The sequence below is a fragment of the Homo sapiens genome, chromosome 3 (genome assembly GCF_000001405.40).
Source record: "Homo sapiens chromosome 3, GRCh38.p14 Primary Assembly".
NCBI lineage: Eukaryota > Metazoa > Chordata > Mammalia > Primates > Hominidae > Homo > Homo sapiens.
In genome coordinates, this window is record NC_000003.12 from 2,529,677 (window position 1) to 2,548,270 (window position 18,594).

General features: G+C 37.0%; 1 protein-coding gene across 36 annotated transcripts in view, besides 1 other annotated feature; it reads left to right on the forward strand.

Annotated features, from left to right (window-relative positions):
* CNTN4 (contactin 4) overlaps nt 1–18,594 on the forward strand; it is a 959,094-nt gene that overhangs the window by 430,811 nt on the left and 509,689 nt on the right. Inside the window, exon 1 of one of the 36 annotated variants that reach the window (XM_011533429.3) lies at nt 10,674–12,944. The exons of the other annotated variants lie outside the window; for them this stretch is intronic. The gene's annotated coding sequence lies outside the window, so the exon portion shown is untranslated. Of the gene's footprint in view, nt 1–10,673; nt 12,945–18,594 lie in introns of those variants that run through there. 36 annotated transcript variants of the gene reach the window in all.
* Nucleotides 5,329–5,778: an enhancer, noted in NCBI's record as "active region_19335". NCBI's record gives its function as "activates an Ori minimal core promoter by ATAC-STARR-seq in GM12878 lymphoblastoid cells {active_cell/tissue: GM12878}" and the evidence as "EXISTENCE:reporter gene assay evidence [ECO:0000049][PMID:35858748]".

Sequence of the window (18,594 nt, forward strand, 5' to 3'; positions counted from 1 at the left end):
TGATCTTTGCATAGGCTAAACTATTCACACTCTGTTTAGCTGCCTTGATCGTCTTTACTCTTGTTTGAGTAACTTGGTAATGGTGACCACCATATGATGAGGAGGAGGAGGAGGAGGAGAAGGAAGAGGAGGATTATATTATTGACCAAGATGATGACATCACTGACAATAGATAATACCAGAATATCTTGAAATCCTAATCCTTTAACAGCTGCTGGTTTGATTCCAGTTAGGCTTCTATTTTCTTGGCCCTAGTGCAGTAGATGAGCTCCTTGCACTTGATATATTTTCATCAATGAAAATAAAAAAGTGAAAATGCTGTGCTTTTTAGATTTCCCTCATGTGATGCTTGGGCTATATCATCACACTTCCTCCCTGGCAGTGGAATCATTACCTTCTGCTGTTACTAGTATAGATTTTCAGAAATCTTGTAATAAATCCACTGATTTGAGAGCAGTAGGAGCTTTTCTTTCTAGGTTGCCTCTCCAACATTTTCATCTTGATATGCATTACTTAGAATTCAGCCAAAATAAATAAAATCCAGCTCTGTCACTGCTTGACAAATATAATACATTGTCAGTGTACCTGTTTATTTCACTAATATACTCTATTTTCTTCTTCTTTCTCCTCTTCTTTTTTTTTTTTTTTTTTGTGACTGAGTCTCACTCTGTCACCAGGCTGGAGTGCAGTGGCACGATCTCAGCTCACTGCAACCTCCACCTCCTGGGTTCAAGCGATTCTCGTGCCTTAGGCTCCCGGATAGCTGGGATTACAGATGCGCGCCACCATGCCCAGCTAATTTTTGTATTTTTAGTAGAGACAGGGGTTTCACCATGTTGGCCAGGATGGTCCCCATCTCCTGACCTCGTGATCTGCCTGCCTCAGCCTCCCAAAGTGCTGGGATTACAAGCGTAAGCCACCGCACCTGGCCTCTATTTTCTTCTTAAAACCACGTTGATTGGGACTATGGCCTCTAATTTTCTCATAATTTAGCTGTTGTATGTTAGCATTGTCTTTTAGGTGCTATTTGCATTTTCCTTTTATTATTTAGAGAACACTTATGTAGCCAGATTTTTTTACCTTGAGAAAATGTTCTTAAAAGTGTAACTCCCGTGATCTAAGAAATGTCATTCAGCCAAGAAGTTACTCTAAGCTTTATTGTCTGAAATAATTTGGAAATAATTCTCTTTAAATTTCAGGAAAAAGAGGACATAAACCACTGTTATAGTTTCAGTTGTTTTTAACTATGTGTTGAAGCTTTCCCAGTCTCTTACCTTGTTTATTCAGTTGTGTTAATTTGGCAGTTAAAAGAATTGTGCCATCTTCATAGATGACTCATGTGGAAGTATACTATCTCTACTAACAGAAGTGACTACAGACATCCAAAAATGAATGCTAAGCCTGGGGAAAGAACCTCCTAAAAAAGAGTCAATATGTTTGATGACATTAAACTGCACACTATCATTTGTGAGTATTTTCACTTGTCAACTGGAAAACAACGGCAGGTCTTGAGATCTACCTCATCCTCCTCTGTTAGCCAGGAAAGGAGACAAGGTGTTGTCTTCAGGGTGTTTTCCCTTCATCATGGGCCACTTGGAGCCAAAAACATCAAGGGAAAGGAAGGAGCTTGGGCGGGTAGGCCTGGGTACGGGAGATACATTTTTGCTTAGTTTTCCTCAGGGATAGTCAGGACTCTATAATTAGCAGTCTAGTCAAAGAGAAGTTTGGAGGAACAAATGAGGGACCTTCTCCATCTCCATTGTCTCTCTATGCCTTCAACCAGGGAGGCAGTGAGTCTTTAGGGATCCAAGCTGTTACCCCTAGCTTGTTAACATTTAATAACTACATGACCTAAATAATGTTGTTCTCTTTTCACAATTCTCAGTTGCAAATGGGAGAGTAGTATAATGATTGCCATTGGATGTCCATTTACTCTTTCAGCCATTGACCGCCCTTATTCCATTAAACAGAAAGTAGTGACTCTTTCCTGACTCTCTTAACGAGATTTCTGACCTTTTCCCCTGCTTTATATTGTCTTTAGAAGTAAAGATTCCATTTGATGAGTGGAATTATCTCCCCCATATTAATGGTGATGAATGCTCTTGAGAGGCTAATGCATGCAATTTAACAAATTCAAACTCGAGTCAAAATCTGTCTTAATATTCATAATAAGAACTTATGTGATGTCCCTGACATCCAGCAGAAATAACCTGTGGCAGTGTTCGCTCTAATACTTGATCTTGTAAGAGAAAATTTCAACCTTATACACATTTTAGAATTACAACTGAGCCAGCATTACAGTGCTAAAGAATGAGAAACTGTTGTGTTGCCTGTTTTTGAAATGTAACAAAAGCCATGTTTTGAGAGTAATTGACTTCTTAACTCACACTGGACTTTTCATGTCTTGAGTTCCCTCAACCTGTATTCTTGTGGCTGATTTTGCTAAATATATGTACTTATAAATCTCCTGCTTATTGGAAGATTATACATTTCAAGTTCAAAGATGTAAAATAGACTAGTATTTCTCTATTTTGTGAGATAGTTTTTCCTAGGTCTTATGGCAGGATTTGGGGTTTTGTTTTTTGTTTTTTTGAGAGACAGCATCTCACCCTGTCACCCTGGGCTGGACTGCAGTGGTGCAATCATGGCTAACTACAGCCTTAATCTCCCTGGGCTCAGGTGGACCTCCTCCCTCAGCCTCCTAAGTAGCTGGGACCACAGGCATGCACCACCACATCCATCTAACTTATGACAGGTTAAAGGGAGAATTCTTTCTTTTGACCAAAATGTTTGTACTAGGAACAAAAAATAAAAATAGTAGCCATCCCTAGACTCTGTATTTTTGAAAATCAAAATTGTAAGTAGAAGTTGACTAACGAAGGAAATATAGTTCTATGAAAGCAACCACTTTTTAAACTTCCTGCTTTGCACATAGTTAACTGGAAGAAAAGGAAACCAAAAACAAATATATTCTACTCTCAAAAAGCTTAATTTACCAATTATTAGTGAAAACTATTGTAAATATTCATTTAAAAACAAGAGTTGTTTACATTCTTAAAAAAGTAACTATAGCAGTCTTCATACTCTTTCGTGTCATACAGTAATAAGATTATATTTTGATAGAAAAAAGTCATATCTTCCCTGAAGTTTTTTTATTTAATATTTACATAAATAGACATATATCCATGCTTGGGAGGCAGGGTGGGAAAAGAGATTATATTTTACTGAAAAACACTGTAGAACTCATAGCCTTACGAGTTTACTGGGGCTGCTAACAGAGCAGCATAAGAAATGAGAACCATCCTTGATCATTGGTTTGCTTAGTCACCGCCCAAATCTCTAGATGTGAATCTTGTTTTCATTATTGACTTTCTTTATGAATTCAGACATGTGACATTAACCTCTCTGGACTTTGGCTACTTTCTCGGAAAATGTAGAAGACAGATTGATTCTTCTTTTTTTTTTTTTTAATTATACTTTAAGTTCTAGGGTACATGTGCACAACAGGCAGGTTTGTTTCATATGTATACATGTGCCATGTTGGTGTGCTGCACCCATTAACTCATCATTTAGCATTAGGTATATCTCCTAATGCTTTCCCTCCCCCTCCCTCCACCCCACAACAGGCCCTGGTGTGTGATGTTCCTTTTCCCGTGTCCAAGTGTTCTCATTATTCAATTCCGACCTATGAGTGAGAACATGCAGTGTTTGATTTTTTGTCCTTGCGATAGTTTGCTGAGAATGATGGTTTCCAGCATCATCCATGTCCCTACAAAGGACATGAACTCATCCTTTTTTATGGCTGCATAGTATTCCATAGGGTGTATATGTACCACATTTTCTTAATCCAGTCTATCATTGATGGACATTTGGGTTGGTTCCAAGTCTTTGCTATTGTGAATAGTGCCACAATAAACATATGTGTGCATGTATCTTTATAGCAGCATGATTTATAATCCTTTGGGTATATACCCAGTAATGGGATGGCTGGGTCAAATGGTATTTCTAGTTCTAGATCCTTGAGGAATCACCACAATGTCTTCCACAATGGTTGAACTAGCTGTTCCTATTTCTCCACATCCTCTCCAGCACCTGTTGTTTCCTGACTCTTTAATGATTGCCATTCTAACTGGTGTGAGATGGTGTCTCATTGTGGTTTTGATTTGCATTTCTTTGATGACCAGTGATGATGAGCATTTTTTCATGTGTCTGTTGGCTGCACAAATGTCTTCTTTTGAGAAGTGTCTGTTCATATCCTTTGCCCACTTTTTGATGGTTTTTTTTTTTCTTGTAAATTTGTTTGAGTTCTTTGTAGATTCTGGATATTAGCCCTTTGTCAGATGAGTAGATTGCAAAAATTTTCTCCCATGCTGTAGGTTGCCTGTTCACTCTGATGGTTGTTTCTTTTGTTGTGCAGAAGCTCTTTAGTTTAATTAGATCCCATTTGCCAATTTTGGCTTTTGTTGCCATTGCTTTTGGTGTTTTAAACATGAAGTCCTTGCCCATGCCTATGTCCTGAATGGTATTGCCTAGGTTTTCTTCTAGGGTTTTTATGGTTTTAGGTCTAACATGTAAGTCTTCAATCCATCTTGAATTAATTTTTGTATAAGTTGTAAGGAAGGGATCCAGTTTCAGCTTTCTACATATGGCTAGCCAGTTTTCCCAGCACCATTTATTAAATAGGGAATCCTTTCCCCATTTCTTGTTTTTGTCAGGTTTGTCAAAGATGTGTGGTATTATTTCTGAGGGCTCTGTTCTATTCCATTAGTCTATATCTTTCTTAAGCCTTGTTCCTGTCCTGGCATTCCTTAAGAATGGAGGTTGCATCCAGCTGCAGTGTGGGTGCACTTGGGCTTAGTGCTTTTTCTGAGACACTGTGTTGAGCGGAGATCTTAGCCATGTACTGTTGGTGTGAACTCTGGATTCCTTCTGGTCATTACGTGTCCTCTGGCACTGTTTTCCAGCTGAGGGCTGTGACTTCAGAGCCTTGGCCCTGTTTCATCTTTTTATGTGGATGTCCTCTGAAGTTTTAATTGCTTACACTGTCTTCCTTTTTGCTCCCTGTTCTGTCACCTTAGAAGTGGTCGTTAAAAGCTGCCATTTTACTCTTGAGGACTGGCACACCAAATGAGGGAACAATGTATGCTGCTGCTGCTGCTGTTGCTGTTATTGTTGCTGCGGTTGTTGTGGTTGTGTGAGTTTAGGTGGCTGTGGAGAAACGTCTTTCAAGATTTAGCATCTGAAACGAGAAGTGTGTTGAGGAGATGGGATTTTCATATCGCCTGTTCTATCTTTGCATGCAGTGTAAAAGGTCAAAGCCTTGCTTCAGCTCTAAAGGACCTTCTTTACATAATAGCAAGAATTGACTCTGGGCATAGCTTATGTCCCATTCCCACTTTTCTTGAGGATTACTTTAAATAGGAATACCTGTCTATTATTTAAAGGTAATTTTGTCCTCTTTGCGTCTTCTGAGAGCTAGTTGCCCGTAAGATGCCTTTCAACCTTGTACTTCAACAAAAATAGAGCAAGTTTATTGGTAGTCTTTATGACACATCCCCCATGGTTGGATACTTGATCCTCCCCCTTTTAAATCTGTCCTCAATTCTTTCTAAAGCTATGACTTTCTGATGCAAGAGTTCTGCTTTCCCTTTGTTTCCAAATATGTATCTCTTACTGATATCTGTCTTCACTTCTAAGTTTCAGTTTTCAATTCTCTTTCATTTGATCATAGGCTTCTTCTGTGTTTTTTCTAATACTATCAGTGTACTTTCAAATTTTCACTTTTCTCCTTCAACCATCATGTGAGGTAGGTAGCTGTTGAGATTTTCATTGACGTCAAGGCCCTCCACTTGCCTCTTTAGAGACTTGCTTGCTTTTTGTTCACAGTACTTGGTAATTATATCACATCCCAGTTCATATGCTGCTTGGACTAGCCCTTTCATGATAGAGATTCCTATGTTCTAATCTATTCCTAAGTGCTAAGAGGACCCCTGTTTCTTTATGTTAAACCTTAAAAAGCATCTCTGTTGGATTTGGTAGTTGTATATTTTGATGTTATTTCTACTATTATGTTTTTGAACATTTTAACAAGAAGAGAAAACCTTTTTTTGTCCATGCATGTTTAAGAGACCCCCTCAAAATAGACTGAGTCAAAAATATCCCTTTCAGTAGTACACTTTCAAAATGTTTGAGATGTCTCTGTGAAAGGGCTAATCTGGAAGTCTTTGACAGTTTGGAAGCCTGAAGAAATCCCCCATTTTCCCAAAGCTGTGTTTTTGAAGACTGTTCTTCAAAGAGCAAGCCCACCGTTTTGCTATTAGTGCCAAGAAAGAACAATGAGTAGATTTTCTGTGTCACAAAGAAAAGTAGTAGACGGAAGATCTGATTGCCACCATGTTGCATTTAAAACCTCATTTTCTTTAGAGAACTGTCCACAGGACTCTCCAATAGGCAGGGATTTAAGGGTGAAACAGTTCAGAACCACATCTCCCACCATATAACTCAAAGATGACGTTTATATATCTGGGAACCTTTTAAAAACCATCTAGATCTATGGGTAAATTTCAAATCCACAAAGTTCAACTGGATGGAAAGTTTACTCAAATGCATTCTTTCGTCCCAGTTTTTAAGCCTAATCCTACTGCTTTTAGGCTGACTGAAATTTATAGAACTGAAATCATCATTGTATCTCCCCAGTGACTGGTGGTGATATTTGACTTCATATACTGAGACCAATTTTTATTTAATTCACATTTTTGGAAGAGCTTGACCTGAAAGTCATTGCCCTATGCTGAAAAGATTGAATTGGTTTTCTCAAGTATATATCATAAAAACAGTTGATCCTATCGAGGTGAGGTCATATCAAAGTAGTACACTGAAATTGAGCCCTGAAGAAAATATTTTTTAAATAATTTTTTTTTTTTTTTTGGTAGAGACTGGATCTTACTTTATTTCCTAGGCTGGTCTTGAACTCCTGGCTTCAAGTCATCCTCCTGCTTTGGCCTCCCAAAATGGTGGGATTACAGGCATGAGCCACAAGCCACCCCTAAAAAATGAATATATTTTTCAGATATCAAGGCCTAGCAATTTTCCTAGGTCAGCAAATATAGTCTCTTCTTTCTGTACTTCACAATGCAACATTTGATATTGAGTAGATGTTGTAGAACATTACGTTGAAGAGCCCAGGTTCTAGAATACCACCATATAGTTTAGATCTTGGCTTTGGTGCTCGATCATTGTGACTTTGAGAATATTGCTTAAAATTTTCTTTCCTCAGCTTGTCTCATTTATAAAATAATATAAAAGCCACTCTCTACCATGTAGTGTTTTTGTGCCTAATATATGAGTAGTATGGAATTGAATCTTAACCCACTAGCATCTGTAGTATGTGCTACTGCAGTATACGAAAAGATGCAGTAGATTTCTAAATTTTGGGGGGAATATTGTGTTTTATGCACATGCGTTCTATAAGGGAAATTTAGGAAACCATGTAGTGCATGTTTTCATACACTATATTTGTACTGGTATGAAGTCACACAGACAGTTGGAATACTGTCCCGAAGATATATAATTGTTTGAGTCACAGAGGTTCCTACGACTCCATTAAGACAGAAGGTATAGCCTAGAGTTGGTGGGTCTGAGACAGTGTCTCCAAAGTCTGAAGGATAATAACTGAATATAGACTCCAAAATTTAAGGCTTCAGCATCCTCAGAGTCCTTGCATTTGTGAGAGCTATGTCTGTGATGTTGCCGTTTGTCACCAGGATACTTTATGTTGTCTTTTAAGTGTTAGGTGTCCAGATGCAGATCACCTGCATCTTGCCTCATATGTCTCTCTGAATGTAAAGATTTTGCCTACATCTGATGAAAACTGTCCACTGTTCACATTATTTGTCATATGTATCTGCTTGGAGCAGAGTAAGACACTTCTAAGGGAACTTGACATTTCATGACCCAGGATATCAGATTCATCCTTACCACTAGCTACTCTCTGAAATTTGGGAATTTCGTTGGTCTTATGGACCACGATCATGAGACTTTTTAGAAAGATGAACTAAAAAATCGCTATTCATGCATCCATTTATTCATTCATCCACATATCCACCCATCATAAACATTTACTTCAGTTACTTATCCTTCTGCAGAAGGGAGCAAGCTGAAAACAAAGTAATTGGGGGTACATCTCCAATAACCCTCCTTCTGGAAGTGGAATGAAACTCCCTCCTTCCCGTCAAGTCTCTTTACATAAGTAAATTGTATAGAATGAATTGTGCTCCTCCCCCTACCCCCAAAATTCATCTGTTTTGAAGGCATAACCCCCCTGTACACCTGATTGTGACCTTATTTGTAAATAAGGATATTGCAGATGTAATTACTTAAGGTGATATCATATAGAAGTATGGTGGATCCCTAATGTCATATGACTGGTGTCCTTATAAAAGGGGGAAATTTGGACACAAATAGACACACAGGGAAAACACCATGTGAAGACTGGAGTTATTCTGCACAAGCCAGGAAACCACCAGAAGCTAAATAGAAGGAGACCTTTTCCTAGTGCCTTCAGAGGGAACATGGCCCCACTGACACTTTGATCTCAGACTTCTAGTCTTCAGAACTTTGACACAATACATTTCTCTTGTTTAACTCAGTTTACGTTACTGTGTTACAGCAGCCCTAACAAAGTCATGGAGTAAACTCTGGGATTAATCCCTTTCCCCAACATTTCATAAACTATTCTTTATCTACTTAGCAATGCATTTTGGATATTCTTCTGTGTCAGTAAATATGTTTCTATGTTATTTCTAATAGTTTTAATATATATAGTTATTTCCCAAATTAAAAAAAGTTAATCCGTTCACTTTGATATACATTAATATACTAACTTGTCTCTAATTTGTATTAATAGTTAAAAATTCTGCAGAGTGGTGGTGTAATCTGGTTTACATTTGAAGCTATTGATTGTACTTGTTAACTTTCATAACTGCTATTTTATATACTTATATTTCATGTTATTATAAAGTTCTTAAATTGGCTAATTTTTAAAAACAGGAATGAATAACAAAGAAATAAAATATAATCATTCCTAATGGCAGTTATTTTTCTTATGTATTCATGCCTAGTTTTCACCAATGTGCATGTATTTTATCTATTTCTAATATACATATATATGCACACACAGACACACACCCACAATGTTCTTTAATTTGATTTATTACTTAATATATTATAAATATATTTGCTTTTATAGTACCTTTATGGAATATTTGGAATCCCCATACAATTTTCCATCAAATATATATGCTCAAAATATTATTGATGTAACTACTCCCCATTATTGAACATTTAGTTTCTTTTTAGCTTTAAGCTATTGGAATTTGTGCTGTAGAACCTATAACTATCCTAACCATAAGAAGGATAGGTCAAAGGTTATGAAACTTTGTTGATCTTCTGTAATTATTTTCATAAGGATTTTCCATAAGCAAGATGATAGTGAAATTGACTAATTTAGGTTGACAATTTATTCTTGAAATTAGCATAAACCAGCAGTATACAAAACAGTAATGTAGGGATAAGATTCAATTTAATGCTACATTTTAGTAATCAGAATTCTGATTTTCTGAATATATTGTGTCCTTTATCAGGTGAATGCTTTCGCTGTTGATATGAACCTCATCTTTCCCCATTCCTGCAACCTAATGCTTTGTCTTTAAATTCTCTGTCAATTGGCACTAATTTCTTTTGAGACGTGTTTTGGAAACAAATAAGATTTTTCTTAGTTTACCAACTTAACTATTTTTTCCTTAATCTCCACTTATGATAATAATCTTGAGAACAAAAGTATTTAGAAATGCCCTAGGTATAAATCCCGAAGAGATTGAGTATAATAAGCCGTCCATGGTATTTACACTTGGAAAGCAAACTTTGACTCTTTGCCCTTTACCACGTAGACTTGATGCAAAAATCAATGAGATGTTCTAGGTTTATGAATTTGATTTCTTTTTATCTTTTTCACAATGAAGGAAAACAAATCAAATTAATGTTACAAGTAAACAGATTTCCGAGCTTTGCTACCTAATGCTGAACATCTACGTACTTCAAAGACAATATAGAATCTTTGAGATAAAATGGCATTTTTTTCCCTTATGATAACTGATATTCAGGATTGGAAACAGTTTGCCTCAAGAAAATGCTGCTTTGCATACTATAAAATGCCGGTGATTACTCAACTCTTGCAGTGTTAGATCTAGGAGGGAACTCAAGAGTTATTCCAATTTTTTTCCATGCAGACTCAATAATGACATTGAGAGAATAACTTTTAATAATACAGGTATCTATTATTAAAATGAAAATGGCAGAGGACAAGATAATATGCCATAATCTGCTTCATCAGTGTTGTGTGTGTGTGTGTGTGTGTGTGTGTATCAGCAAATATTTTTTCAGCTAACTAATAGGTGATATAAAAAATTGGGGTTGTAAGACCTATCCATAGAAACAATCATAAATTACTAGCCATAGAATTTATTTGCCTCCCTTTGGAAGTTTATTTCCTTTTGTGATTAATAACAAACTTGAGGGTAGGTGTATGTGGTTGAATGGTAACAGGCACCCAAGGTTTGGTTACGTGGGATTGCATCATGTTGCTTGGCACCACCCAGCTGAGTCTCCAAACAGCTAGTTTGGAGGCATGTGTCTCGTGGGCATGGAGTGTTAATTTCTCTTGCAGCAAAACAGAAAGCGGCCGACTGAGAGAGTGGAGGCATGGGTGTGGTTGAAGAGCACACAGGAGAAAAGACGGTGGGGGAATATCATTTTTTTGGTTCTGCTTCTACTCCAGTACTGGATGCCATAAGATATTGCCTACTGCTATGGACATTTTATTTTAAAAAGTAGTAGGAGTTTCAGTATGATTTATTCATTGTCTATAGAAATCCTAATGTGGATTATGTTCATACACAATATACAGAAGTATAGATATTAAATAGTCAATTTCATAAACATAATCTTTAAGTAATTGTGAGTCAAAAATATTCAGGGTCCAATTACAAGGAAAAGTACAATTTTTTAACAATGCTTTATGTATTTTATTTGTCTTGATCCAAGGTTTATAAAGTAGTTTAAATCCTGTGCTTACTTAACTTTTCTGTTTATTTGCCAATTAATAGAGAGGAGATAAATGAAAAGGATCAGATAGGAAGAAGGGAAGCAGCCAATATTGTCAAACTAACAATGGAACCAATTGTACCTGTGATGTTATATTGGCGAGTACAGAAATATTGAAAAACATATTAGGATTTCAAAGCATCTGTTTTGCATATGAGTAAACGGAGGGTTATGAGATTTCTTCACTCATTACATAGCTGGAACTTATACCCAAGTCCTTATCTCCAAGTCTAATCTCCTATCTTTCTTCAGCTATCTTCTGGGTCTTGGGGCCAGATTTAGGGTGTTTGAAGAATTATTTGTTTGCACCCTTAAACTCATTTGAATTTTGTAAACTCTTAAGTATAGTAACTTCACATTAGGTGTTGCACTTGCACAGGGCAACTTTGGCTAATGGTTATTGGAAATGTGGAGTATGGGCCTTCTAGGGCACTTTCCTTAGTTTTTTTCTTTTTCTGGAGTGAGGTGAGGCTATAAAAAATAGACAATATTAAAGCATATAGTCGTTTATGTATTCAATACTTTTCTATGCCAACAGATCCTCTCAGTGTACTATTATGCACCTTATTTTGCAAATAAGTCAAGAGAAAAACCGTTTTTTCCATATTAAGGAATCATATAGGACAGGCAGGGTTTATATAAAATTCTGATAGCACTTAGTAAAGCTTCGTTCTCCCTAAAGTGGGTACAATAGAAGGTAAGCTTTGGAATTTTAAGAGTATTCACTGTTCATGACACTGTTTATCCTACATTTGTCACATATCATTTTCTCAGGATATCTGACATAACCTCTCCAAGATATTTGGTTTAAAATTAATTGGCAGTCAATGGCAAAGGGTAGAGTCACTTAAATTTGCTGAAGCAAGCACAGTAGCATCTACCAGAGTATATGTCAGATTGTTCTCAGACCGCCAAGGGCAAAAATATGTGCTGAGGGAGGCTGTACTGGTGCCACTGTGTTGGAGGCCTTCTTCAACTCTTAATTAGCTTGCTATGAGTGGAGATGCCATCTTGACTGGCTCTCTGGGAACCATTAGGCAGGGCCACTGACCTTGGCAACTCTAATATTTATCTCTGTGGAACTGAGTTGTGAAACTAAAAGGCACTGCACAGGTGTTTCCAAATATTTTAAACCAGCAATGGAGAGACTATTAATTTAGGCCATTAAAACTAACTACCAATGTATAGAGTGACCTGGTACAGGACACTCTGCAGGTATCAATCTACCTTTGGGTCAGTAGCACAGTGCCCCTTGCCTTCTGCCACCACATTAGAGGCATCATTTTTATTTTTAGCCTGGACATAACAGCTGGTTAAATTATGTGAGGAGTAGCTCTTCTTGATAAGATCAGCAAAGATGCTAGAAGTAAGACTGACTGTGAAATAGCTGCAGCCAACTGGCCTCTCAGCCATCATTCTTATCTCCTGGATAAATAAGAAGCCTGCAATTACATTTTGAAAATCTCTAATAGTCAGATAGGCAAAACAGGACTTCCATGGACTCAGGTTGAAAGGTTTGATTGTGAGTTGTGATTTAAGGCCAAAGGAAGAGAAATAGCCAAGAGAGAACAGTATAGATAGGAGACAGAATCTCAGTAATGAACTAGCACCAGAAAATCTTCTGCAAAGAATATACACAAGAAATAATCTCCAAGACACAGGATTTAAGCTTCTGCATTTTCTTTCTATTCCTAACAGTGTGCCTAGCAACCGCTGATATAGTACAAATTTTGCTGAATGTCAGATCGAGAGCTCTGGAAGGTTTATATCTGCAGGAGATTAAGGTACAAATATTTCCAGATTCGTTTCAGGGTGGCAAGATCAACTCACAGCATGAGGCTTCTGTCATCATAGAGATGCTTTGTGGTACTTTCTCTTCTTTCGTAAATGAACTGGCAAAATTGCCACTTGAGTCAAATGGAAGAAGGCAAAATGTTGTGTTAGCTGTTCTGGGGAGTGAGTGGCATGTTTCCTGGGCCAGATAGTGGATCCATATTCAGTAAGGGGACTGACTCAGTGCTCTTTGTGGAACTAGAAGATCAGAAAACAACTGATCATGCTTACGTTGTATTCATGATGGCCTTGAAAAGAAACATTTCCACCCATTATGTTACCACTATATTGAACATGCACTAATAGAATAGAAGTGGAAATCATCAGCATTAACACAGATTAATTTTATGAAAGGTCACAGCCAGATTGTATACATGGACATGCCATAGGATGGACCAAGATAAATCTTTACCATTTATTTAGTTCTTCATTGCTCTGGGAAACCTATATTTTGTCAGTTACAGGAAATATATAGCTCAATGGCTACCATTAGTTTGAAAAATAACAGAGGATATATTTTGGCCTGAAAGGAACAGAGGTCTAATGTTATTGCAGCTGTAATAAAGAACTAAGCGCCTGACCTTATGCTTGAAAGAGTTACCAGGTGAAGACAGAGCTGTTCACTTAAAGCACTCAGATTCAGAAGCAATCCTTAAAAACAAAACCCAGAGGAAAACCATTTAATAAACAAATAATAAGGCATGCTGGAGAGGCAGTTGTGGGAGTCTAAGTGTAGTCAAGTGTTTCCGTCTTAGTGCTTGTTCCACTTAGCCAGAGCTCTGGGTCACCTGGGATTTGGGCCCTGGGAGGGGATAACAGTGTGTACGGGTTTAGCACTGGACTCTGCTGTGCATTCAACTTGGAGATACCATAGGCCAACTGGAGCTCACAGGCTTCACAGCTTCATCGATTTTTAGCTTCAGTGAGGATAATAGGGAGCCAAAACAAGACAATTTCATTGCTCCATCTCTGCTACCTCATTTCTTTTTCCTCAGTATGCATTTAGACGTTGCAGAGAGTTCATGGGACAGACAAAGAAAACCCTTTGCTGTGTTCACAAATGGTCCAAGACTGAATTAAGAATCACAATGATATTTTCTCTATTAGTTAATACATTATTTAACTTTATATTATACATTGAGTATTTAAGTTGTTTTAAGTGCTGTTTTACTTGCATATATTAAGACAAATATTACCTGGTTGATTTCCACACAGTGGACTTTTAAAAAATCATTCAATCAAGAGCTATCTTGGTATGAAGGTAAGGAAGCGACAAGCCTCTGTGGTAGACATTGAACTTTTCATATTTTGGATATATCTGTCCTCTTTTTTCCTTTGAGAACACACAAGAGAATCCTTATTATTAATTTGTTAATTCAGAAACCTTTCTTGAGTAAGCTACATATTTTTATAAATTCACACTTACAAATCAAGAACCTGATACTACCTGTAATCCTAACAAATAAAATTAAATCTTTCTCAGACCCCACGTGCCAATATTCATGATTGTCCCATGACAGCGAGTGGTGCCTTTATCTTTTACAATTATTCACGCATCAAGCTTAAGTATTTTGGTAAATGATGGAGACACGCTCCTCAGTGCCTTAGTCCTCCTTGGAGAACATGGGAAGAAAGATTGTTCTTCTGCAATCATAAGCAGACTGTGGCCATCCAAGAATCCAAGTATATTCTTAAACAAGCTTGGTCTCACCAAAAATAGTTGAATAGAATATTGCCCAGTCATCAAGAAATCAGCAAACATTTTAAGCACCTTTAAAGTATGCTGTGCTAGGCATTCTGATGGGATACAAAAAATGTGAGGATACATTTTAATTAAATAAAAACAATATGAGTTTCTGTCCTCAAGAAACTTATAATTGGGAAAAGAAAACAAAGTACAGTATTCAATTTCTTCCTGGTTCAGTTTTGGGAGATTGTGTGTCCGGGGTTTTATCCATTTCTTCTAGATTTTCTAGTTTGTGTGCATTGAAGTGTTCATGGTAGTCCCTGAGGGTTTTTTGTATTTCTGTGGGGTCAGTGGTAATGTCCCCTTTGTCGTTTCTAAATGTGTTTACTTGGATCTCTGCTCTTTTTTTTTTTAATTAGTCTAGCCACTAGTCTATTTATCTTCTTAATATTTTCAAAGAACCAATTCCTGGATTCATTGATCTTTTGTGTGGTTTTTCACATCTCAATTTCCTTCAGTTCAGCTCTGATTTTGGTTATTTCTTGTCTTCTGCTAGCTTTGTGGTTAGTTTGTTCTTTGTTCTCTATTTCCAGTGGTTGTGATGTTAGGTTGTTAATTTGAGATCTTTCTGAATTTTTGATGTGGGTGTTTAGTGCTGTAAACTTTTCTCTTAACACTCTCTTAGCTGTGTGCCAGAGATTGCGTTATGTTGTATCTTTGTTCTTATTAGTTTCAAAGAATTTCTTGATTTCTGCCTTAATTTCATTATCTACCCAAAAGTCTTTTAAGAGCATGTTGTTTAATTTGCAGGTAATTGTATGGGTTTGAGAGATTTTCTTAGGATTGATTTCTATTTTTGTTGTGCTATAGTTGTTGCTACAATTTTGAGTTTTTTGCATTTGCCTGAGGATTGTTTTATGTCCAATTGTGTGGTCAAATTTAGAGTATGTGTCATGTGGAGATGGGAATATGTACTCTGTTGTTTTGGGTTGGAGAGTTCTGTAGATGTCTTTTGGGTCCATTTGGTCAAGTGTTGGGATCAGGTCCTGAATATTTTTGTTAATTTTCTACCGCAATTATCTGTCTAATGCTGTCAGTCGGGTGTTGAAGTCTCCCACTATTATTGTGTGTAAATATAAGTCTCTTCATAGGTCTCTGAGAACTTGCTTTATGAATCTAGCTGCCCTTGTCTTGGTTGCATATATATTTAGGGTAGTTAGCTTCACTTATTGAATTGAACCCTTTACTGTTATGTAATGCCTTTTTTTTTTTTTATCCTTTTCATCTTTGCTGGTATAAAGTCTGTTTTGTCTGAAATCACGATAGCAACTTCTCCTTTTTTTTCTGTTTTCCATTTGCTTGGTAGATATTCTTCCATTCCTTTATCTTGAGCCTGTGAGTGTTATCGCATGTGAGGTAGGCCTCTCTTGAAGACAGCATATCATTGGGTCTTGCTTTGTTATCCACCTTGCCACTCTGTGCCTTTTAATTCCAAGGACATGAACAGACACTTTTCAAAAGAAGACATACAGTATGCAGCTAACAACCTTATGAAAAAATGCTCAACATCACTAATCATTAGATTAATGCAAATCAAAACCACAATGAGATACCATCTCACACCACTCAAAATAGCTATTATGAAAAAGTCAAAAAATAACAGATGCTAGCAAGGTTGCAGGAAAAAAGGGAATGCTTATACACTGCTGGTGGGAATGTAAAGTAGTTCAGCCATTATGGAAAGCAATGTGGTGATTTGTCAAAGAACTTAAAACAGAATTAGCATTTGACTCAGCAGTCCCATTACAGGTTATATACCCAAATGAATATAAATCATTCTGCCCTAAATACACATTCACTGCAGCACTATTCACAATAGCAAAGATGTAGAATCAACCTAAATGCCTATCAACAGTAGACTGGATAAAGAAAGTTTGGTACATATATACAATAGAATACTATGCAGCCAAAAAAAAAAAAAGAACAAGATAATGTCCTTTGCAGCAACATGGATGGAGCTGGAGGCCATCATCCTAATCAAACTAATTGCAGGAACAGAAAACTGAGTACTGCATATTGTTACTTATAAGTGAACACATGGACACAAAGAGGGGAAGAATAGGCACTGGGGCCTCCTTGAGGGTGGCGAGTGTGACGAGGTGGAAAATCAGAAAAAATATTTGGTACTTTCTTATTATATGCATGATGAAATAATCTGTACACCAAACCTCCATGACACACAGTTTACCTATGTAACATGTTTGTTAACCTGCACATGTACTCCTGAACCAAAAATGAAAATTTAAAAAAAACAAAATATGAACAAAGTCCCAATGTAAGAGACAAATATCAGTTCAATTAAGTACAGATATTGATTAAATTGGTAGCAGGAATAATAAATACTTCAGCAGAGTAGAAGAAGAAGAAATGGCCATGGGCTATCCTGGCCTTTAAGATAAATGGAAGAAAATGAATATGAGCAGTATCCTGAAGGATTGGTAAGATTTACACCAATTTCATTCCGAGCGGATGTTCTAGCATGCACAAAAGTAAAAGCAGGAAAATGTAAAATCATTAGGTATGATGATGATAGTAGTTAACTTTTATTGAGTACTTGAGAGATCCCACGTAATATTGATTAATCTGCACCAGAACATCTAAGACAAATTTAAGACATGCCAGTGGAAAAGCTTAGCCACAGATTCGATGTAGGTGATAAAAATAAAGGGAATGAGAAAGCTAAACATTGGGAGAAATTAGCAAAAACTCCAGGTCTTCAAGACTGGGTAGCTGGAAGAACATGGTATAGATCTACTAATACGAGTGTCTTTTGACAGACCTGGTTTACAGAGAAGAGATCAGGGTTTTGTATGATATTTATTTATTTATTTATTTATTTATTTATTTATTTATTTATTTATTTTGAGATGGGATCTCATTCTTGTCTCTCAGGCTGGAGTGCAATGGCACGATCTCTGCACACTGCAACCTCTGTCCCCTGCATTCAAGCGATTCTTTGGCCACAGCCTCCCTCTAGTAGCTGGGATTATAAGTGCTCACCACCATGCCCAGCTAATTTTTGTATTTTTAGTAAAGATGGGGTTTCGCCATGTTGGCCAGTCTGGTCTCAAACTCCTGACCTCAGGTGATCTGCCTACCTCGGCCTTCCAAATACTGGAATTGCAGGCGTGAGCCATCATGCCTGGCCATGAGATAATTTTTAATGAATTTAATGGAATGATTCAAGAAGAAATATTCAGTAAACATTTAGAAAGTTGGGAACTGGGATTCCAGAGAGGCTCAACTGGAAAAACACTTAATAGTCAAATGCCTAGGGAAGGTAGCTTCATTCACCAGAATGAAACCAAAAATTGTGAACCTCCTTTAGAAGTTTTACATCTAGAGAACCATGAAACAAAGTGAATTTTCATTTATCTTTAAGTCCAAAGAGAACTTAATAACCCTCATGTTTCTCATGATACTGTCCAAAATCCACAGATCCCCAGGAAATTATTTCTTGTTTTCACAGAGACATGCGTATTAAAGCTAACTGAAGAAGGCAAAAAGGAAAACAAAATGACTGTGAACAGACTAGGTGTATCTGTTCTGTTCATATCCTTTGCCCACTTTTTGATGAGGTTGTTTGTTTTATTCTTGTAAATTTGTTTAAGTTCCTGGTAGATTCTGGATATTATCCCTTTCTCAGATAGATTATTAGCCCTTTGTCAGATGGATAGATTGCAAAAAATTTTCTCCCATTCTGTAGGTTGCCTGTTCACCTTGATGATAGTTTCATTGCTGTGCGGAAGCTCTTTACTGTAATTAGATCCCATTTGTCTATTTTGGCTTTTGTTGCCATTGCTTTTGGTGTTTTAGTCATGAAGTGTTTGCCCATGCCTATCTCCTCAATGGTA